The 22292-nt window shown below is 43.3% G+C and overlaps 1 long non-coding RNA gene across 1 annotated transcript in view, besides 7 other annotated features; it reads left to right on the top strand.

Moving 5' to 3' along the window:
- Positions 1–22292, top strand: part of C1QTNF7-AS1 (C1QTNF7 antisense RNA 1) — a 422973-nt gene that overhangs the window by 267395 nt on the left and 133286 nt on the right. The gene's annotated exons all lie outside the window — the stretch shown is intronic.
- Positions 916–1634: an enhancer, noted in NCBI's record as "NANOG-H3K27ac-H3K4me1 hESC enhancer chr4:15160510-15161228 (GRCh37/hg19 assembly coordinates)". NCBI's record gives its function as "activates a minimal SCP1, AML or CMV promoter by ChIP-STARR-seq in primed H9 embryonic stem cells {active_cell/tissue: H9 hESC(primed)}" and the evidence as "EXISTENCE:reporter gene assay evidence [ECO:0000049][PMID:30033119]".
- Positions 1635–2354: an enhancer, noted in NCBI's record as "NANOG-H3K27ac-H3K4me1 hESC enhancer chr4:15159790-15160509 (GRCh37/hg19 assembly coordinates)". NCBI's record gives its function as "activates a minimal SCP1, AML or CMV promoter by ChIP-STARR-seq in naive H9 embryonic stem cells {active_cell/tissue: H9 hESC(naive)}" and the evidence as "EXISTENCE:reporter gene assay evidence [ECO:0000049][PMID:30033119]".
- Positions 9509–10708: an enhancer, noted in NCBI's record as "BRD4-independent group 4 enhancer chr4:15151436-15152635 (GRCh37/hg19 assembly coordinates)". NCBI's record gives its function as "activates an origin of replication core promoter dependent on BRD2, P300/CBP, MED14 and CDK7 cofactors, and independent of BRD4, by STARR-seq in HCT116 cells {active_cell/tissue: HCT116}" and the evidence as "EXISTENCE:reporter gene assay evidence [ECO:0000049][PMID:35650434]".
- Positions 9509–11500: a biological region, named in NCBI's record as "BRD4-independent group 4 enhancer GRCh37_chr4:15151436-15152635".
- Positions 9587–10543: an enhancer, noted in NCBI's record as "H3K27ac-H3K4me1 hESC enhancer chr4:15151601-15152557 (GRCh37/hg19 assembly coordinates)". NCBI's record gives its function as "activates a minimal SCP1, AML or CMV promoter by ChIP-STARR-seq in primed H9 embryonic stem cells {active_cell/tissue: H9 hESC(primed)}" and the evidence as "EXISTENCE:reporter gene assay evidence [ECO:0000049][PMID:30033119]".
- Positions 10312–10451: an enhancer, noted in NCBI's record as "active region_21336". NCBI's record gives its function as "activates an Ori minimal core promoter by ATAC-STARR-seq in GM12878 lymphoblastoid cells {active_cell/tissue: GM12878}" and the evidence as "EXISTENCE:reporter gene assay evidence [ECO:0000049][PMID:35858748]".
- Positions 10544–11500: an enhancer, noted in NCBI's record as "H3K27ac-H3K4me1 hESC enhancer chr4:15150644-15151600 (GRCh37/hg19 assembly coordinates)". NCBI's record gives its function as "activates a minimal SCP1, AML or CMV promoter by ChIP-STARR-seq in naive H9 embryonic stem cells {active_cell/tissue: H9 hESC(naive)}" and the evidence as "EXISTENCE:reporter gene assay evidence [ECO:0000049][PMID:30033119]".

The following is a 22292-nucleotide window of genomic DNA, read 5'->3' as shown; positions in this document are numbered from 1 at the left end:
GACTCAGACAACCACTCATCTAACCCTGATCCACCATGTTAAAAAAACAAGCTGACAGATGAAATGAGTCTCAGGTATGGCCATGTAGCTACAGAAAGACCTAGTCAGACTTGAAAAGCCTTTCTTTTTTTTTTTTTTTTTTTTTTTTTTTGAGACAGAGTCTTGCTCTGTTGCCCAGGCTGAAGTGCAGTGGCAGGATCTCGGCTCACTGCAAACTCCGCCTCCTGGGTTCAAGCGATTCTCCTGCCTCAGCCTCCTGAGTAGCTGGGACTACAGGCACCCGCCACCACACCTAGCTAATTTCTGTATTTTTAGTAGAGATGGGGTTTCACCATGTTGACCAGGATGGTCTCGATCTCCTGACCTCGTGATCCACCGGCCTCGGCCCCCCAAAGTGCTGGTATTATAGGCATGAGCCACAGTGCCCGGCCCGAAAAGTCTTTATTACATACCCTTGAACTAGGCACTGGAGAAAAGTTCTATTAGTCTTCATCTACTTTATGTTCTGAAGCTAAAATCAGGGTTTATGCTCTTGCCAACAAGCAAAATATTTAGAATTCAGACTTGTCTAGAACATTAGAGATGTCTGGGCATAGTTGATCCTAAGATCCACTGAATGTATAAGCTAGTAGCTGAGACTAGATTTCTTCATAAAAAGATGAGTAGGGCATCCCCGGCTTAGAATCAAATGTGTGGTCCAGATGGCAGTATAGGATCAGAAAGTGGTAATAATCTGGAAACACTGGGGCCCATAGGGGATGCTTCATGAAGGGTTTTGTACATAAGGGAGCCCTTGATGGGAAGTTAGAACCTCAGCAGGGGAGAGAGGGTTAAACATTCACTAGAGAGGGAACTCTGAGCAAAGGTGTGCAAAACAGCATACATGTGGGAAGATACCATGGAGAGATGGTGGACGGGAGGCAGGACTAGATTCCAGCTCTGGACAGAGCAGCATGCGGAGGCTTACACTGTGAATTTTAGCTGCAGATCCACTGCAAGAACAAACTAGCAATCCCAAGAGGACCCACAGACTCTCTGAAGAAAGTGAGTTGCCCCTGCAGGACCTAGGAGACACCCCAAATACTGTGAGTTCCCCAACTGTGGAAGTGGGAAAGGGAGACCCCCCTCTCCTGAACACACCCACCACTGGAGAAGCTGAAGGTCTGTTTGCGGGAGAAGTTTCTAAGTTTATCTGGAGCTGAGTCAAGTTAGAGAGCTAAGCAAAATACAGGGGTAGAGGAAGCAGCAGAAAGGCCCTGGGAGCTCACTGGACCCCCAAGCAGCCCATTCCTGCCTGACACCACAGGGATCCATCAGGAGGGTGGCCAGAGGAGCAGGGGGTAAAACTCCACAGGGAGAAGGAATTCTCTAGCTGAACTCTGTAACAATTTGAACAGGGCTTGAAGCCTCCTGGCCAGAACTCAGGGGAGGGCGTGAATCAGGTGTGCAGACTTCACAGGGAGGGGGAGAATAAAGCCCTTTTCTCTAGCTGCTGGGAGGCAGATAGCCTCCGGCAAGTTTTCAAGCCCCTTTCACACTCCACCAGGAAACAGACTTGGGGCTGTTGCGGGGGACACGGTGGAGCGAGGCCCTTCAGTTTGCATGGGAGCTTGGTGAGGCCTGTGACTACCGGCTTTTCCCGTTTGCTGACAACCTGCATGACTCAGCAGAGGCAGCCATAATCCTCTTAGGTGCACAACTCCAGTGACCTGAGAATCTCACTCCCATCCCCAACAGCAACTGCAGCAAGACTTGCCCAAGGAGAGTCTGAGCTCAGACATGCCTAGCCCCACCCCCACCTGATGGTCCTTCCCTATCCACCCTGGTAGTGGAAGCCAAAGGACATATAATCTTGGGAGTTTTAGGGCCCCGCCCACCACTGGTCCCTCTCCACACTACTATAGCTGATGCTTTCTGGAAAGCGCCACCTCCTAGCAGGAGGCCAATCAGCACAAAAATAGAGCAAGAGACTCCCTAACACATGAGGACTCACATAAAGTTAAAGGGTGGAAAAAGGCATTAAATGCAAATGGACACCAAAAGTCAGCAGGGGTAGTTATTGTCATGTCAGACAAAACAAACTTTAAAGCAATAGTGGAGAAAAGAGACAAAGAGAAACAGTGTATAATGGTAAAAGGCCTTGTCCAATAGGAAAATATCATAGTCCTAAACATATATGACCTAACACTGTAGTTCCCAGATTACTAACAGACCTAAGAAATGAGATAGACAGCAACACAATAATAGTGGAGGACTTCAATACTCCACTGACAGCACTAGACAGGTCATCAAGACAGAACGTCAACAAAGAAACAATGGATTTAAACTATACCTTGGAACAAATGGACTTAACAGATATATACAGAACATTCCATCCAACAACCACAGAATACACATTCTATTCAACAGGGCATGGAACTTTCTCCAAGACAGACGATGTGATAGGCCATAAAATGAGCCTCGATAAATTTAAGAAAATTGAAATGATATCAAACACTGTCTCAGACCACAGTGGAATAAAACTGGAAATCAACTCCGAAAGGAACCTTGAAAACCATGCAAATACATGGAAATTAAATAACCTGCTCCTGAATGAGTGCTGGGTCAAAAACAAAATGAAGATGGAAATTAAAAAATTATTTGAACTGAATGACAATAATGATACAACCTATCACAACCTCTGGGATAGAGCAAAGGTGGTGATAAGAGGAAAGTGCATAGCCCTAAACACCTACATCAAAAAGTCTGAAAGAGCACAAACAGACAATCTAAGGTCACACCTCAAGGAACTAGAGAAACAAGAACAAACCAAACCCAAACCCAGCAGAAGAAGGAAAATAACCAAGATCAGAGCAAAACTAAATGAAATCGAAACAAGAAAAAATACAAAAAATAAGTGAAACAAAAAGCTGGTTCTTTGAAAAAAAATAAATAAAATTGATAGACCATTAGCAAGATTAACCAAGAAGAGAGAAAATCCAAATAACCTCACTAAGAAACAAAACAGGTGATACTGCAACTGACACCGCTGCAATACAAAAGATCATTCAAGGCTACTATGAACACCTTTATGCACATAAACTAGAAAACCTAGAAGAGATGGATAAATTCCTGGGAAAATACAACCCTCCTAGCTTAAATCAGGAAGAATTAGATACCCTGAACAGACCAATAACAAGCAGCGAGATTGAAATGGTAATTAAAAAATTACCAACAAAAGAAGTCCAGGACCAGACGGATTCACAGCAGAATTCTACCAGACATTCAAAGAAGATTTGGTACCAATACTTTCGACACTATTCCAAAACACAGAGAAAGAAGGAACCCTCTCTAATTCATTCTATGAAGCCACCATCACCCTAATACCAAAACCAGGAAAGGACATAACCAAAAAAGAAAACTAGAGACCTATATTCTTGATGAACTTAGATGCTAAAATCCTTAACAAAATACTAGCTAACCGAATCCAACAACATATCAAAAAGATAGTCCACCTTGATCAAGTTGGCTTCATACCACGGATGCAGGGATTGTTAACATATGCAAGTCAATAAATGTGATACACTGAATAAACAGAATTAAAAACAAAAATCACATGATCATCTCAATAGATGCAGAAAAAGCATTCGACAAAATCCAGCATCCCTTTATGATTAAAACTCTCAGCAAAATCAGCATACGAGGGACCTACCTTAACCTAATAAAAGACATCTATGACAAACCCACAGCCAACATAATGCTGAATGGGGAAAAATTGAAAGCATTCACTCTGAGAACTGGAACAGAGGATGAACCAAGGGTGCCCACTCCCATCACTCCTCTTCAACATAGTACTGGAAGTCCTAGCCAGAGCAATCAGACAAGAGAAAGAAATAAAGGGCATCCAAATTGGTAAAGAGGAAGTCAAAGTGTCACTGTTTGCTGACTATGTGATCGTTTACTTTGAAAACCCAACGGACTCCTCTAGAAAGCTCCTAGAACTGATAAAAGAATTCAGCAGTTTCTGGATACAAGATTAACGTACACAACTCAGTAGCTCTTCTGTACATCAACAGTAACCAAGCAGAGAATCGAATCAAGAACTCAACTCCTAGGAATATATCTAACAAAGAAGTCGAAAGACCTCTGCAAGGAAAACTACAAAACACTGCTGAAAGAAATCATAGATGACACAAACAAATGGAAACATATCCTATGCTCATGGATGGGTAGAATCAATATTGTGAAAATGACCATACTGCCAAAAGCAATCTACAAATTCAATGCAATCCCCATCAGAATACCACCATCATTCTTCACAGAATTAGAAAAAACAATTCTAAAATGTATATGGAGACAAAAAAGAGCCTGCATAGCCAAAGCAAGACTAAGCAAAAAGAACAAATGTGAAGACATCACACTACCTGATTTCAAAGTATCCTATAAGGCCATAGTCACCAAAATGGCATGATACTGGTACAAAAATAGGCACATAGACCAATGGGATGGAATGGAGAACCTAGAGATAAACCCAAATACTTACAGCCAACTGATCTTCAACAAAGCAAACAAAAACATAAAGTGGGGAAAGGGTACCCTTTTCAACAAACGATGCTGGGATAATTGGCCAGCCACATGTAGGAGAATGAAACTGGATCCTCATCTCTCACCTTATACAAAAATCAGCTCAAGATGGATTAAGGACTTAAACCTAAGACCTGAAACTATAGAAATCCTAGTAGATAACATTGAAAAACCCCTTCTAGACATTGGCTTAGGCAAGGATTTCATGACCAAGAACCCAAAAGCAAATGCTATAAAGACAAAGATGAATTACTGGGACCTAATTAAACTAAAGAGCTTTTGCACAGCGAAAGCAACAGTCATCAGAGTAAACAGGCAACCCACAGAGTGGGAGAAAATCTTCACAATCTATACATCTGACAAAGGACTAATATCCAGAATCTACAATGAACTCAAACAGATCAGTAAGAAAAAAACAAACAATCCTATCAAAAAGTGGGCTAAGGATGTGAATAGACAATTCTCAAAAGAAGATATACAAATGGCCAACAAACATATGAAAAAATGCTCAAAGTCACTAATGATCAGGGAAAGCAAATCAAAACCACAATGTGATATCACCTTACTCCTGCAAGAGTGGCCATAATCAAAAAAATAAAAAAAAACAGTCGATGTTGGCGTGGATGCAGTCAACAGGGTACACTTCTCCACTGCTGGTGAGAATGCAAACTAGTACAGCCACTATGGAAAACAGTGTGGAGATTCCTTAAAGAACTAAAAGTAGAACTACCATTTGATCCAGCAATCCCACTACTGCATATCTACCCAGAGGAAAAGAAGTCATTTTTCGAAAAAGATACTTGCACACGCATGTTTATAGCAGCACAATTCACAATTGCAAAATCATGGAACCAATCCAAATGCCCATCAGTCAACGAGTGGATAAAGAAACTGTGGTATACATATATATATATAACGGAATACTACACAGCTATAAAAAGGAATGAATTAACAGCATTTACAGTGACCTGGATGAGATTGAAGACTATTATTATAAGTGATGTAATGGAAAACCAAACATCATATGTTCTCACTGTTATGTGGGAGCTAATCTATGAGGATGCAAAGACATAAGAATGGTACAATGGACTTTGGGGACTTGGGGGGAAGAGTGGGAGTGGGGCAAGGGATAAAAGACTACAAATATGGTGCAGTGTATACTGCTGGGGTTATGGTTGCACCAAAATCTCACAAATCACTGCTAAAGAACTTACTCATGTAACCAAATACCACCTGTACCCCAATAACTTATGGAAAAATAAAATAAAATACAAGATAATGGCTCTGGGATTTGTCTCTCTCTATGTATATTATATGTGCGTATATGTATATCTTATTGAACCGGAAGTTCAAAGTTACACTGAGGTAAAAAACAAACAAACAACCAAAACAAAACAAAACAAAACACCAGAATACATGTGGGTAGTTGAAGAAACAATGGCTTCTTAACAAGTATGGTAGGTGATGAGAATTCTACCAGAGAAGGCTGGGGAAAGCGATGGACTTTATCAAATGTGGCACTCCTGGAGATTCTAAGCATGGAGAAGCTGATGTGCAGAGAGTGATGCTCCAGGGAGATTCATCAAGTTCTAAGTTTAGGATGAAGGGAGTATATTAGTCCTCTCTAGCATTGCTACAAAGAAATACTTGAGACTGGGTAATTTAAAAAGAAAAGAGGTTTAATTGGCTCATGCTTCCACAGGCTGTACAGGAAGCATGGCTGGGAGGCCCCAGGAAACTTACAATCATGGCAGAAGGCAAAGGGGAAGCAGGTACATCTTACATGGCCAGAGCAGCAGTGAGAGAGAAGGGGAACGTGCTACACACTTTTAAAGAACCAGATGTCATAATAACTCACTCACTCAGTATCACCCAGAATAGCACCAAGGCAATAGTGCTAAACCATTTATGAAGGACCAAATACCACATGTACTGCAAAAACATAGATCCAATCACCTCCCACCAGGCCCCACCTCCAACACTGGGGATTAATTACATTTTGACATGATATTTCAGTGGGGACACAGATCTAAACCATATCAGGGTGGAATCAGGGAAATCAATCAGGAGGCAGTTACATTAGTTCAGACATGACATCAGGAAGAACTAAACTTGAGGGGTGGCAGTGAAATGAGAAAGAAAGGGAAGGGTGAAGAACTCCACAAGGGAAGAAACAACAAGCTTCAGTGACTCAGCGGATGGTGGGGGAGAGGAGAAAGAAGAGATAAGGATGAAGGCAATATGTGAAGCCTGGGTGGCCAGTCTGCATGACGAAAAGTGGATTTTATAAAGGAAAGCACTTAGGAGGACCCAGCTGGAGTTTGGGCTGGTTGAGTTTGTAGATGGTGGGATATTAGGTTGACCTAGAAGGTGTATAAAGTGTGGTGGTAAGACCATGGGCCCTCGAGGCAGACTCCAGGGTTCTATCAATTCCACCACCCCTAGCTGTGTGACTTTAGAGAAGTTATTTAATCATCTGATGGCTTTAAAGGTGAACTAAGATGAAGCATCTAAAGTGCATAGCAGTGGGTGATGCTCAGTAAGTGCATGCTCCCTATCTATCTCTATTTCTATCTCTGTTTATTAATATTGGAAGCAAGAATTGAATCATTCAAATTCAACTGGGAATAAAGATAAAGACATTGAAGTCATTTCAGAGGTGATAATTGAAGATGTTAGTTATTTTTGAAAAGTAAATAGAGTGATCATGAGGATGACAGATCTCTAAATTGCAACCAGCTGTTTACTGTTGCCATTGGTCACACAGGGAAGTTGACAGAGACAATGCTCTGGACCAGTCTACATGGTTTATTACTGAGGCACTTGGGTTACAAATTTCAATGGGGAATCCCGGCACACAAGAACTGGGGAGTCTGGTCCATCCTACCTCAGGTGCAAGGTGAGGTCAGCAGTTACATCAATCCTCTTTTGTTGAGCTCATTCTCTGATCCTGAGCCTCTCTTTGAGGTCTTATCATTAAAATAGTAATAAAAGTCAAGGTAGAACAAACTCAATAGGAGAACTGGCCACAAGCACCCAACCCTACAATGAAAGCCAATGCCCATTTTATTACAACTGCATTTTGGAATTAGAGAGAGAAAGGAAAGGAGAGGAAAGGGAGTGGGAGGGACAAACAGAGAGAGAGAGAAAAGGAGTGAAGGGAGAATGGTGTCATTTTATTAAGTCAAGACTCTAAAACAAAAGTTTTGTTTTACAAGAACTCTCCTGTACCCCATTGCCATTGCCAAATGATGTCCTGGGTGTGAGCAATTCAGAAGCACCATCCTGGCAGGGTGACTTGGTGATGGTGGAAGAAGTCAGCTTCTCCTAGTAGATCACGTCACCAATAGAATTCAGAGGAGAGGAAGCCTGCAGTCTGAAGATATTGAGGAGCAAGTCTAATGTACAACAGAATCATAGGGACAATAGGAGAAAGTGGAGACACCTGGCAAGCTCAGCGAGGAGAAGGTGAAAGAGGACTACAGAACACCCTGAAGCCAAAGGGAAAACAGGAACAAAAAAAATTTGCTGAAGAAGGACCATCGTTCCAAAGTGTCCCCTCATCTCTGACTCTTACATGAATTGGGCCTCATTTAAGATCAAAGATACCTTTCTAAAGTCCTTTGGGCCCCAGATGGTGCTCTTAGGACCACCACCTTGAATCTATATGCAGTTGACCTCAAAAAACATCTGATTATTTGGGCATGAGTGATGTACACCAAGGTGGCTGGAGAACAGACTGGAATTCCCAAACATTTTCTCAAGTTACCACCAACTGCCCTCTGGTTCAGGCTCCAACAGGGCCACTGATCATCTATCACCACAACCAAATGGCAGTTATTAATTTCGTGATACCATTTCTATAGTATCTGAATATTTATTTGCTATAAAAATGACAAGAATTATGATAAAAAGAACAGTAAAATATGACTCTTACCATTTATGAATGCTTTAGAATCAAAAGACTAAGTCCTTTATAAATGATTCAGCATTTGATTTTTTTTCCTTAGATTGGCTCAAATTTTACTTTACAGGTCATAAAATTTTAAAGCCCTGTGCATTTGGAGGTCTGGTTCAGGATGAAGACTCTTAGGCTTGGAGTCAGAAAACCCAGCTCTGATCCAACTTTTCTTGCTGTGTGACCTTGGGCAGGTAACATCTTCTCTGAGACACAGTTTTCTCCAAATGGAGTGGACAATGTATGCCCTGAGTCTTGTTCAGGCTTGTGGTGAGGAGCAAAAGGATAAAAGGGCTGAGCGTGCTTGGTAGATGAATGTACTGATTGGAAACACAAAGAACATCCGTGACCATTTATTTATTTCTAAATCACTCATTAATCTTTGCTAGTTCTTGTTGTGTTTACTATTATGAATGAATGTTAGGTGTTGCATCCCACCTTCTATTTGAAAGACCATTCTTGGCAAATGTTCAAAACAACATTTATGAGTTAATAACAGATTCGAGTTATTCCCTTCAGGATTAGATAAGTTATGCTAAAAAATAAATTCAGGGGCTTCAAAACAACAAAGGTTTACCTCCTGGTCACATTATATATTCATTGCAAAGTTTCCTTCTTGCAATCACTTGGGGCCTCAGGTTGATGGAGCAGCCACCATCTCCCATGTTGGGTCACCATAAGGGAGGAAATGCTGCTCTGGGCATCTCACCCCTGTAATTGAATGCTCAACTGAAGTGACATCACTCACTTCCGCTCACATCTTATTGGCCAGAGCTGACCACATGGCCCTCTCCCAACCTCACAGAACAAGGGAGGGCCATTCTACTGTGGGCCTGGAAGGCAGAGAACTAGAAGTTTTTAGAGAGCAGCATTTTCAATAACCACATGCACCCTCCATGGATTTGCAGTGGTAGAGCATGTTGACTGGTAGTACTGATGGAGACCACCTTTATTTGCATTATGTAACAGACTTTTATGGAGCACATCCTAGATGTCAGGGATGATGCCCAGCATGGGAGATGCAAAGTCATAGATAAGTTCTCGGTCCTAAAATGCCACACAAGAAATATGCACTGGATGTTCTGTGAGCTTCAACCAGCCACTTCATCCAGCCTGAGGAAAGGGAAATAGATTCCTGGAGGTGGTGAGTCCTACAGGAGCAGTCGAGCATGCAGAGGCTGGAAAAGAAAGGTGTTCTGGGCAATCAGGACAGCATGAGCCAGCCAAGGCATGGGTGATGCCAGCTCTGCATGTGTAGGGCCCTCCAAGCAGTATTTGCTGCTGGAGCATCAAATGGGAGATGAGATGGTCAAGAAGAGTGAACCTGGGTGGAAGGAGAACTGGTTAGAAGGTAGTGATGGCATCCAGGGAAGAGAGGGTGAGTCCTGTAATTGGGCAGTGAAGGGGATGGAGGAAGGGAGCCAGGCTCCAGAAACCATGAAATGCTGCCTTCGGCTCTGAGCTCCCGAGAAGCAGCAGAGCAGAGGGAGGGAATAACATGCAGCCAGAAGGACAGACCTGGATGCTGTGTGCACCTGCTTGGAAGCCACAACTCTTTGGTGTAAGCCCTGCTTCCCCACTTCATGGCTGTGTTACCCTGGACAAGTTATTTGCCTTCTCTGTGCTTTAGTGTCCCCATCTCAAAAGTAGGGATAATAATAGAAAACGCATAAGTCTGAGGTTATGTATATTAATACGTACAGAGGACAGGGACTGTGGTATCTGGCTGGGCTAAAGAAGTGTGGACTATCTTTTGTAGCCTCTGCAGGGGTTCCTGCCTCTCCCAGCCAGGCCAAGCCTGCTCTGCCAGCTGAAATGTCAACATGGGCGGTTCCTGTCTGAAGTCCCCACAGACAAAGGATGCTTTGCACCCAGGGGACCTGAGCAGTGTCCTTTTCTGTTTGTCTCACAGAGGCCTTCCTTTTCTGGCCGCAGCTGACCCGAGGGTGGGCGGACCCCGCAGCAGGCTCTTTTCTGCTGAGTCATCCTGCCTGGCCTGCCTGGCTGGAGTGACATAGCAGGAGGAGCTGGCTCCCCTGCAGGCTGAATCTGTCCTGGGGGTGGGGTGGGGAGGGTGGTAACATTTTATTTAGGGGGATCAAAAAGCCTCCAGATGAAACAATGGTGGTTTTTTTTTAATGGGTATGGTGGGCTGTTTGCCAAAGCTTGGCCTGCCAAATAGTGCTGGTAAAGGAGGGACTGTTGTCACTGGGTTTTTGGCCATGAATTTGCATCCTAGCAGGAGGCAGGAGGCAGCAGCCTAGGAAGGCCTGGTCTTATTTTTATCGTGTAAGAATGAGGTACCCTTTGGTAGAGTTTGTGAGAATCTGTTTCACTTCCAGAGCTACGCATGCTGAGTAATAATGATTGCTGACTTTTTTGAGCACTTGGTGTATGACAGCCTCTCTACCAAGCTTTCAAAGCATTCTTTCATTCAGTCCTTACCAGCTTGTGAACTAGGTTCTCTTCTTATTTCTGTTTAACCCACGAGGGAACTGACTTTCAGAGCGGTTAAGTCAGTTGTGTGAGGTCACGCAGCAGAAGGTGGCAGAGCAGGCAGTCTGATGCGGGGGCACAATCTCTCGATGGGTACACCTTGCAGAGGGCTGTAGGAGTTACTGGGGGCGTGTGCAGCAGGGAGTCTCACACGCAGTGGGTGTACAAGAAATAGCCTCCATCCCTTTTATCACTATTATTTATTCCTTCTAAACAAACAAACAGCAACCATTCAACATGGCGATGTGATTTTGAAGGGATGATTTTGGTCCTGCTTGAGGACATGTCTTGTGTCTTGACTCCACATCACTAGGACATGGGCAGTCTGCACACAGAGACCTCAGGAATGTGACACCCCGGCCCCCTACTTCTATTGCTTTCAGACTGTCTTGGGTTGACCTTCTTTAGTAGCAGGATGACCTTCACTCTCCATATCTTTATTTCATGGTTCAGGACTCAAATGTGTAGGTTGTAGAAATTTTACAAATTCCAGACAGGCTTACCACATTTAAAATACCACTGACAAGTGTGTAATGCCTACCTTTTTAACTCCATGTAGGTCAGCTACATAGTACTCTCAGGGAGTAAGAACTTTCCTAAAGCAACTCGGAACTGGGCCATTTTGCTTACTTGCTGGCGGCCTGATAATACCAGGGCTTCTCGGTGTTGCTAAGAGTTTCCAAGGAGAGAGATTTGCTTCTCTCCCATTTTCCCCTTCCAGGGCACCAGAATGAGCTCGCTGCTGGAGCCTAGGGCACGTTCTTCACTTGGTCACCATCAAAATAAAATTACCAAGCACGCAGGTACTGACGAAGCCTGTCACTACACAAAATTAATCATTTTAAAAAGTAAATGACCCAGTTTCCTGTGGTGTGTGTTTTTGGGGCCCAGGGAGTGCCCTTCCCCCCTCAAGTGAATTGGAGATGCCTCAGATGATGTCAGCTCACTCTGCAAGCGACAGAGAGATGGGTTGGCAAGATCTGCAGCATGAGCCTGGGATCCGGCTGCCATTTGGGCTGCTGTCGGCATCACTGTGGAGACCATTAATCTTCAACTTACGACGACTGAGCCTTCTCGGGGCATTGAGTTTTCTTGTTCTGTTTTGTTCAGCGTGGCATTCAAGATTCCTTCACAGAAATCTGTGTCGGGGCAGGAAAATGCTATGTGAATTATGTCCTTGTGAAGTCACCATCTGGCCAATATTCATCTTGCTTAGTGAAATATCAAGGACATCCTTCGGCACAGATGCTGCGGGGCAAGAACATAGCACACAAGTGACTGCAGTCATAAACCAACACGCAATCAAGTGTAATTAATGCACCTGGTGCCCACTTCAGAGTTCCAGTCCCACAGTCGCACACTGGTTGGCTTTTCCTTTTTCATATGTGGCTTTTTGTTGTTGTCAGGTTTTTTTTTTTTTCTTCCCTTTTGGGGTGGGGATAGATGTTTGCAGTTTGAATCGGCCCTGGGATCTTCAGCAGTAAATAAGTCACCATCATGGAGCTGGTGAAAATGGGAGTGTTTGTGTGCATTCAAGAAGCTGCATCACATGCAAACCGTACAATACTGAGCAGCATTCTGTGCCTTGAAAAGGCCATTGTCCCGTGCGTCTGGAATCCGTTCTCCTGTTGACACTCACTGGCTTTTGAAGGCCAGGTCCAGATACTGGCCTCCAAGTGCTTTTGTGCCAGATGGAAGAAGGGAAGGGATCCAAAACTTGGAAAAATAAAAGATAAAAACACAAAACAGTCCCCCATGACTTCTCTATCAGCAGGATTTCATAGCCTCCTTCCCCCTTTTCCACACTGGTCTTGACCTGGTGGTGTTTTAAAGTGGTGATGGGAGAGGAAGAGCAGCATTTTGCCTCACTGGAACTGAAATTCTGGAAGCTGTGAATCCTTTCTTTGGATGGAGACCTGGGGGTTAACTAGTGGGGCAAAGGTGGGGAGCAGAAGTTGCAGAAGAGAAACAGTGATATGAGGGCTCCTTATAACCCAAGAGCCATGTAAGTAAGGCATGGGGATATGGGAGGCAGGGGGGCCTTTACCTGGGGTTCAGGGACACATAAGGAAAGTGACCTGGGCTCACTTGCAGTGTTTCTGCTGTGCACAGAGGAGAGGAGGGATGCTCCTACAGTGACCTTGCTGTGGGCAGTGCAGCCTGGGTGCATATGGCGGCTGCGAGCTCATCCTCCTGTGTCACTTCTACACGGAAATAGCAAAATTGCCGTTAGCAATTAAAGGTTTCAAAGGCCCCTGAGTGTCATTAGGGGCTTGTCAATGGCTTTCTCTGAGCTGCAGGATGAATGGCTCCCAATTGTCTCCTATCAAATTAAAGCTCCTTATCATAGGCTGTAGCATCCTCTGCTAATTGGTGCCTGCTTCCCTAATTCATCTTTCATTCTGAAGCACCTTGTCCCATCATCTGAGAGCCATCTTCCAAGTCTTCTAATTGCCAGCTCTCTTCAAATCAATTCCATTCAACAGATGTGCACTGGATTTCAACTCAGAGCCAGGCCCTGATAGAAGGGGAGGCAGTTAGGTATATGAATCGGAGGGCATAGGCATTATACTATAGAAAGCCTTTTGTAGTGTCTGAAAGAGGAGGCAATAATTTGAGTCTTGGTCCAAACTTAGGAGCTGAATAATCTTGCTTAAACTCTCCAAGCCTCTGTTCAGGAAGCTTGGGGGTAAATGGGGATAATAATGCAGAGTTGCTGTAAGAATTGAATGAGATTTTATCTATCTATTTATATTTGGCATACATATTTCACAAATGTATATTTCAGATATATACCAATACTGTATATATGAAGCCCCAAAGAACCCATCATTATTTTTACTGGAATGCAGATACGGTCATGAGGGAGGAGTAGTCATCTCTGCCTACAAAGGTCTGCAAAGGTTTTGTGGAGGAGAAGAGACTTGCGGCAAGCTTTTCTTTTTCCTGTAGACATAAGCAGAAAGGGCAGTTCAAGCGCAGGTAACAACACAGGAAATCAGGGAGACAGGAAACAGCCAGGGATGTTTCAGAAAGGGCAAGTACACCGAGAGCCCTGGTTTCCACGGGGGCAGGGAGGGGTGCCAATGGTGCAAGATGGTCTGTATGCTGGAATTCCATTTTTTCTTTCATCAATTTAGGAAAACCCTACTCATGTCTTAAAATCAAAGGTTTCCTCTTATAAAAAGCCTCTCTGAATCAACATATGCCCAGCTAATCAACCCATACCTGTTACTGTCTACTATAATTGTGAGTTGTAGTAGGAGAAAGTTGATCTGATGAATGATGATACCAGGATGTCCCTGACATAACATGGGACAAAGGGAGGAGCATTTAACTCTCTGTCGCTGGTAACAGTCTTTAGGAACACGTCACAGATTGGCAGTATCTGAGCTGGATTTCGAAGGAAAAATTGGATGCATTAGGCCATTGTGACTTGGATTCCCAGCCATCACCAGGGAGAATGTCAATATTGAAGCCTGTTGAGTATGAAGAAGATAAAGTCTCCCAAATAAACCAGGATCGCCGTGTCTTTTGTTCCTCTAGGTTGGGCTGCCGGCCGCTGGTTAGGGCAATGAGCCAGGTGTCCCTTGGCACGTTGACATTTTAAGAGCTCTGGCACCAGTGGCAAGTGTGGGTTAATTTGATATTTACTAAGATTCACTTGCTTCACAAACATCGAGCTCCAGCCATTGGTGAGGGGACTATGCACTGTTGACAGCTGTCATCATTTTACTGACTCAGACACCTTTTGTTGCTGTCAGAAAACAAACACCAACCTTCTGACTGCCTTTAGGAGCCTGGGACTCTCATAAAACAGCACTATCTGGGATGTTTTTCTCTGGGAAACCAGAAGCAGGTTCCTTGAGTCCAGACCACACCAGCAAAGAGAACAAAAAAGCAATCACTGTCATTATCACCATCATTGTTGTGATCATCATCAATAACATCATCATCATCACGGCACTCTCTGTCTTCTAAGAGCCTCTATAAGATGGCTAAGAACCATCTTCCATTTGGTCCTATCTAACTTTAAACGTGCCAAGTAAGGACATCCTCCTTCTCAAGAAGACAGTTTTCTGCTCCTGCAATTTATATTTTAATCTTATTACAACCTATCTTTTTGTTTTTCATTGTTTTCACTTTTTACGTTTCCACCACATAGGCCTATTTAAACCCCTAAATCTTAATCTGAATGAACCCTTACTTTGTTGGGATTTATGTGTTTTGAATATGTGTAGTCTATAATTATGCCTTCTTCCCCCGAACACATTTTTAGGTCTTACTTTTCTTTGTTAAAGTCAACCCCTCTATTCTTTCATTTTATTTCCAGTGTTTCTGCTCCTTTTAGAACGTGAATTTTGTTAGAAGGGTTATTGCTTCCCTGCCGCTAAGGGTGGATTAGGCCATCTGTCATGACGATCCTTACCTGACGAAGAGAATGTTAACAACTACTACTTAGGATGGGCTTGGTACTAGCCTGGCACTGGGTACGATTTCGGACTCAAATTTATTGTTTCACTGATTATTACAATGGCCCTGAAGGTTTCGGGTTATTATTGTTCCCAACCTACAGGTATGGGGATTAGGCTCGGGGTGGTGGGGGGTGTTGAATAACATGTTGAAGGTCAGAGAGTTGGTGAATGACAGAATCTGCCTGCCTCTGATCCAAAGTCCAACGTCCCACACAATCTTTCACTTTGAGCTTCCATTGACGTTAGTTTTTATATCTCCTTCTTTAAAAATTACATTAAATATAGAAAATAAGATCTGGGAGTCAGAAAATACTGGACACCCTACAATTTTCCTCACCCTTTCTTTAGGGCTCCCAGCAGGGGTGAAATTCCATGTCCTTGGTTAAATCTGTTTGAATTCATTTTTAGGAGTTATAATTTGACAAGAAGCTCTAACAACACACTCCACTGGCAGTCAGGACTGCAGCAGCCTTGCCTGTCTGCTACGATCTTACTTTGTTCCTCTCCGTTTTCCTAGCATGGTTTGTCCTTTATAAACCAGCCTCATCTGGGAATAGTGTGCCTTTGTTAATTACCTTTGCAGAGCCAGCAGATGGTGCAGAAAGCACTGCATTGTCGGAGGACCTAAGCCAAAAAAGAGAAGAGGGAGAGAGGGTGGCATCTGTTTATTTGTTTAATTTCTTCAAGAGGAAATGGTGGGTATAAAAATAAAACTAGTCATCACTAAGCATCTCGAAGTGAGGAACACTTCTACCGTCATATAACAATGGTTTAAAAGAAAATTCTATTTCAGGCCCCAAAGCTTTGGACATTTGAAGAAGTATTTGAAACCTGGAACTGGCCATGCCGGCTCAGTGAGGGTCCACTGGCCAATCCTGAACATTGGCCAAGTTTACCTGTCAGATGCTGTGCCCCAGACCTAGGCGTGGAAAACCAGCCAGCAAAGCAGGTTCCCCGTAGAAGCCCCCACCATCACCTTCTTTCCCATTTAACCAAAGACCAGGTTAGCTTCTAATTAACAGGGTTTAATAGCCTCTCTTTCTACAGTTTTGGTGGTAGGTGTCCCGTGTGTAATCTATACCACTGTCCTTGGAATCAGAGCATATTCCAGATGAAAGGGCCCTTAAAACCATTGCAGTCAAACCCCCTCATTTCAGAGAGTGGGACATCGGTACCCAGAGCAGAGAAAGGCTTTACTCAAGTCACCAAGCCTATTAGTGGCAGAGCCAGAATTAGAAGTGAAGTTCCCCTATCTCTCAGCTTGCCACCTCTCCCCTACTCTGCCAGGTAAACAGAAGAGGGAGAGGCAGGGGGAGTTTGGGGAGATTCCAGATGGCTCCATGAGCAAAGTCTTAGAAAAACTACCTGCTGCAGAAAGGAACTAAATGATCAAACCACAGAGGTAGCAGGCACACGACTTGAGAAATAAGAAATAGTCCAGAGTAACTAGAATACTGGGTGTCAGAGACAGTGCAAGAAACGTTGTGGGGACTTGATTGTGAAGGGCCTTGTCATCAAGAAAATGCAGCACCAAAGATGTAAGTAGGAAACAATTATGTCTGGGCCTGTGCCCAAGATGGTGGTGATGTGAGGATGGGTTGATGAGGGAGATTAGGAGGGGGAGGTCACCCAGGAGTTAGATGAGAAGTGTCCAAGTCAATCTGGTGGTGGTGGAAATAGAGAGGTTTCATTTCCCTTCACTCCACAGGAATGTCTCTGTTCAAGGTCACTAATGACCTTGACCTTGCCAGATCCAATGGCCGCTTCTCTGACCTCACATTTCTTGATATAATCAACCACTATCTTCTCCAGATACTTCATAAGGCAGGCGGGGGTCGAGGTGGGGGTAGAGAGTTATGCTTAAAAATAAGAAATGGAAATCTCCTTGGAGGAAGGAAGACAACATCCTTCAGGATCCAGCCCCTCCCTAGCAAGGAGCTCCCACTGGGTCAAACTACATAGGGAGCAGCCCCAATCCAGGACAAGTAGGGCAAAAGAGAAGTCCTATATTTGGGTTCAAACACTGAATTGAAAATATAGCACTTAGAACATATGTGACCTGTTCTAGCTACAGGCATGCTTTTCATCATCAATAGGTAAAAGTCAAAATACCTTAGCAAGCAGATAAACCTCTATGACTTCTTTCTACTTTCCATTCTTAACTCCATCGTTATCTTTCTTCTGAATAAACTGAGTTTGCAACAAACCAATGATTTAGAAAGCTAACAAAATGTTATACAATCTCACAGAAGTTTAAGTTCCAGATCAAGGGAAGTGATAGGCCTGCATTCTTCTGCATTGATTTGATCATATCTGGAGTTCATTCTCTGCCCAGTTCTGGCCTTACATTTGCAAAGAGACAATTACAAGATGGAGAAATAACCCAGCATGGGAAGCGCATCAACAAATCTAAATGTGTGCCTGTGAGGCCTAGATACATTTTGCTCAGTGAAATCTTTATGCACCCTCAATAACTGTTTTCCAGTGTTTGAAGGACTATATGTTGACAATAAAGCAGGTTGATTTTAGAAGAAAAACTTCTAGTCAATAGGTAAATCATCCATGAAGTTGAATTTAGCTTCATGTAAATACTAATCTTCAAAGGGATTGACTGCTGAGAGGGACAGCTGCTTTCTGTACCTGGGAGTGTCCATGCATATGCCTCATGGCCACTTGCAGAGAAAAGAGAGCTGTGGGTCCTGTTAATGGAAGAGTCTAAATTATTTAAAATGTAGCCTTCTCTTAGTGACCATCAACAGATCCCAGAATTTCTTTTTTCTTTTTTTTTTTTTTTTTGAGACGGAGTCCTGCATGTTTCCCAGGCTGGAGTGCAGTGGTGTGATCTTGGCTCACTACAAGCTCCGCCTCCCGGGTTCACGCCATTCTCCTGCCTCAGCCTCCCGAGTAGCTGGGACTACAGGTGCCCGCCGCCACGCCCAGCTAATTTTTCGTATTTTTAGTAGACACAGTGTTTCACTGTGTCAGCCAGGATGGTCTCGATCTCCTGACCTCGTGATCTGCCTGCCTCGGCCTCCCAAAGAGCTGGGATTACAGGTTTGAGCCACCGGCCCCACAGGTCCCAGAATTTCTTAGAGATGTCCAGTAGGCTGAAAAGAACTGGGGTTGTCAGGAGTCGGGAAATGAGAGAGAGAACAGTAAGAGGAATATGAGTTTAACATGAGATAGAACTCTAGAATCTGTTAAAGTGGTTCCCCAGAACTTCAGTTTCCTCTTTCTTGCCCAATGATACACTCTTCCCACCCTTTATTTTCCGCACTTTCAAAATACTTCTTCAAGAAAGGATAATGTTAATTCATGCTAACACGTAAATGGCTTCTTAGAATCCACAATCTTCTCTTCCCAGAGTCATTTTGCCTACTTCTAAGGGATAAAATCTAAAGCTAATAAATAGACTGTATTAGGCAGTTGTATGGAGAAATGAAGAAATTCGCAGTTAGGATTTGGGTTACAGCTGCCAAGTATTGATTGCAAGTAACAGAAATTACTTCCAACTAACTTGAACACAAAATGAATCTGTTTGAAGAACACAGGTAACATGGTTTGGATCTTTGTCTCCTCAAAATCTCCTGTTGACGTGTTCCCCGTGTTGGAGGTGAGGTTTGGTGGGAGGAGACTGTACCCTGGGAACGAATCCCTCATGAATGGTTTAGCGCCATCCCCTTGGTGATAAGTGAGTACTCGCTCAGTTAGTTCTGGTTGTTTAAAACAGTCTTGGACCTCGCTCTTATCTCTCTTTTACTCCTGCTCTCACCATGTGACATGCCCACTGCGCCTTCAACTTCCACCATGATGGTAAGCTCCCTGAGCAGATGCCAGCACCGTGCATCTTGTAAAGCCTGCAGAACCAAGAGCCAAATAAACCTCTGTTCTTTATAAATTACGCAGCCTCAGATGTTTCTTTATAGCAATGCAAAAATGGCCAAACACAACAGGGGAATCCCACAGAAGTAAGGAATCAACAACTAAGATTCAGGAAAGACATGAGCCGTGTGGCTCTGGGGGCCTTGGCAGTAAGGATAGGTGAATCTTCTCTCCTGCAACTGCGACCACAGTACACAGCTCTACCGTCCATTTTGGCCACATCTGTGTGCCTCAATATTCAAATTCCCAAGAGACAAAAATGGCCAATCTTGGGTCATGTGATCCCTTAGAAGCTAGGAGAGAAGGATCTGTTGCCAGATGCAGACAGACAATCAGATATAGGAAAAGGCATAAATGCAGGACTGAGGACATCTGAGTAGCCTGAAATCACATCGCATAAATAGTCTTGAGTGACCTCACATCACCACCATGCTCACAGACACCTGGGTGGCTCCCAGTTGCTAACAGGTGAAGTCCAAGTTCTATAGCAAGGTATCTGCAGTCTATGTGCCCTTGCCCTGGACCACTTTGCTGATCTGGTGACTGCAGTGTGTCCCTCTGAGTGACACTCCAGCTGCTGTGGACCTGTCAGTGACCGTAGTGCTCTTGTTCTCTGTAGTATCATTCCCAACCTTGCTGATTTCCTGTTCACCCTCACAGACAATAGGGCCAAGGTAACTGGCCTCATCCACAAAGCCTCTGTCCTATCTCTAGTATTTTTACTGACTTCAATTTTTTTTGAGGTTTATAGTTTTATTGAGCTTGTTTCCTGTAAGCACGTCAAATCTTTGGTGGAATGAGGCAGGATATAAACAAGTCCCACTTTTTAGAGATGGGGCAGAAGTTACAGTGGATTTGAAGAACCGCGTTTCCTTTCTCTTCTCTCCATTTCCAGGTAGCCTTGCAATGCCTTGCACATAAGAGGTACACGGTGCGTATCTATTTGATAACCTACTGAGGATTGCAGACTTTTAGTCCACACAACCAGCAACCAAAGCCAGATCCAGCTTGTGAAGCCAGAGGCTTGTATAGCTTGGGAGGTTCTCTGGGATAAAAAGTACTAAGATATTGCACTTTTGCAATTTCTGCAAAAACAGATGACATGAGGAATATCTTTTAAGGGGACCATGCAAGAGAGTAGCCTGAGGCAGATGTTTCTTACCTTCAGCAAAAATCCTCTTCTGCACATGACCAGCTAGGCCTCCAGGTCAGTGGTATTCATATCATTTCACAGAAGAGAAATAGATGAAGAGAAGATTTAACCTTCACCTAGTCCTTACCATGTGCCATTTAATCCACACAACACTGTGAAGGAGGATGTATTAGTTCCTCATAGCTGCCATAACAAGTGATCACAGACATGCTGGCTTAAAGCTACAGAAATGTATTCTCTCACAATTCTGGAGATCAGGAATTCAAAATCAAGGTGTTGATGGGGACATTCGCCCTATGGGAGGCTCTAGGGAGAATCTGTTTACCCTCAGTCTCCTTTACTCATTTACTTGACTTGCCAGAACTGTCAAAGTAATGAAGTTTAGATCCTCTGCATAAACAGATGGTGGCAGAACTGAATTAAAGGTCTTGTACAACTTCAAGACCCCATCTAGGAAGTCTTTCTTGAAAGATTTACTTAGAAGTCTTACTTCTTGGAAGTCTCTCCAAGGCTCATGCCATTGTCTTCCTCTTCTGCACTTTTGTATCCCTTTATTATCCATGCCAGTATCTTTGACCTTGACCTTAAGCTATTTGTAATACTGATTATATTCTCATCATAAAGAACTAATGGCTTCTGGCTTTAGTGTTTACATTTTTCACTGTGGGTCAGGTTTCTGTAAACTGTGCTGGAGCTACAATGGCCTTCTTTTGGTGCCACACACACCAAATGAGCACCCACCTCAGGCCTTGCTGCTGGCTTCTCCTGGGGTTTTGGTGGCCTTTTCTTATGTCTTGTGCCTCCTCTTTCTTGCCATTTAGAATCTCAGTTTAAATTCTATATTCTTATGTGATTTGTTTAAGCCAACTTAAAAGAGATACTGTTGAGGAAAAAGGGAAAATTTGACTATAGTTTTGGTATTGAAAAGTATTAAAGACTACGTATTCGTTTTTAGAAAGCCAACTTTACTGTAGACGTGCCCTTTCACCTAATGGTGCTATGATTTGGGGTTAGATATGTAACTTCTGTGAGCCTCAGTTTACTCCACTATAAAATGAGAAAAACTGACAGGGTGGCATGCAATTTAACTGAGAAAATCATATAGAGTACTTAGCACAGTGACAAACACATAGTAAGTGATTAGAAACTCCATTTTTTAATGTATTATTATGTTTTCCCTGTTCTACCTTATTTTATAGTGGCAAGAAATGTCCTCTTATCACTTTATTCTGCTTTTAAAATAATTCCTGCAAGACTTTAGAAAGACTATGAAAAAATTCACATAACCAATAGACAACTTCAGATTTACATGTTTATCACCATGTGCCACTTTGTGCCAATTCACATGTGGAATCTTGTGGTAAGTCTAATTTACCACAGATATTTTAACTAACCATTATACTCTACCTGCTCCCTAAAGGAACATAAAGCACACATTTACAATATTGCAGAAGTTGTTTCCTGCTCAGGTTACCAGAACATACAGATATCATTCCATGTTTATAGAGCACTTCAGGGTTTTCAAACTATGGCTTTTATTTGCTCACCACACATTCCTGGGAGTTAAGATGTGTAGCATCATTCTACTGAGGATGAGAGAGATTCACAGTGATGAAGTGAGACCACCAAGTTAATGTCATAGACTGTGCGGAAGCAATGTAAGTGATGTGGCCACAGGGTAGATACTCAATAAGAACTGATGAAGTAATGGAATGGATGAAAGAAGTGAGCTGCTGTATTAGTCTGTTCTCGCATTGCTATAAAG

Source organism: Homo sapiens, chromosome 4 (genome assembly GCF_000001405.40).
Source record: "Homo sapiens chromosome 4, GRCh38.p14 Primary Assembly".
In the NCBI taxonomy this organism is placed as follows: Eukaryota; Metazoa; Chordata; class Mammalia; order Primates; family Hominidae; genus Homo; species Homo sapiens.
The sequence above is the reverse complement of the archived record's forward strand: the minus strand, read 5'-3'. Positions and strand labels throughout refer to the sequence as shown.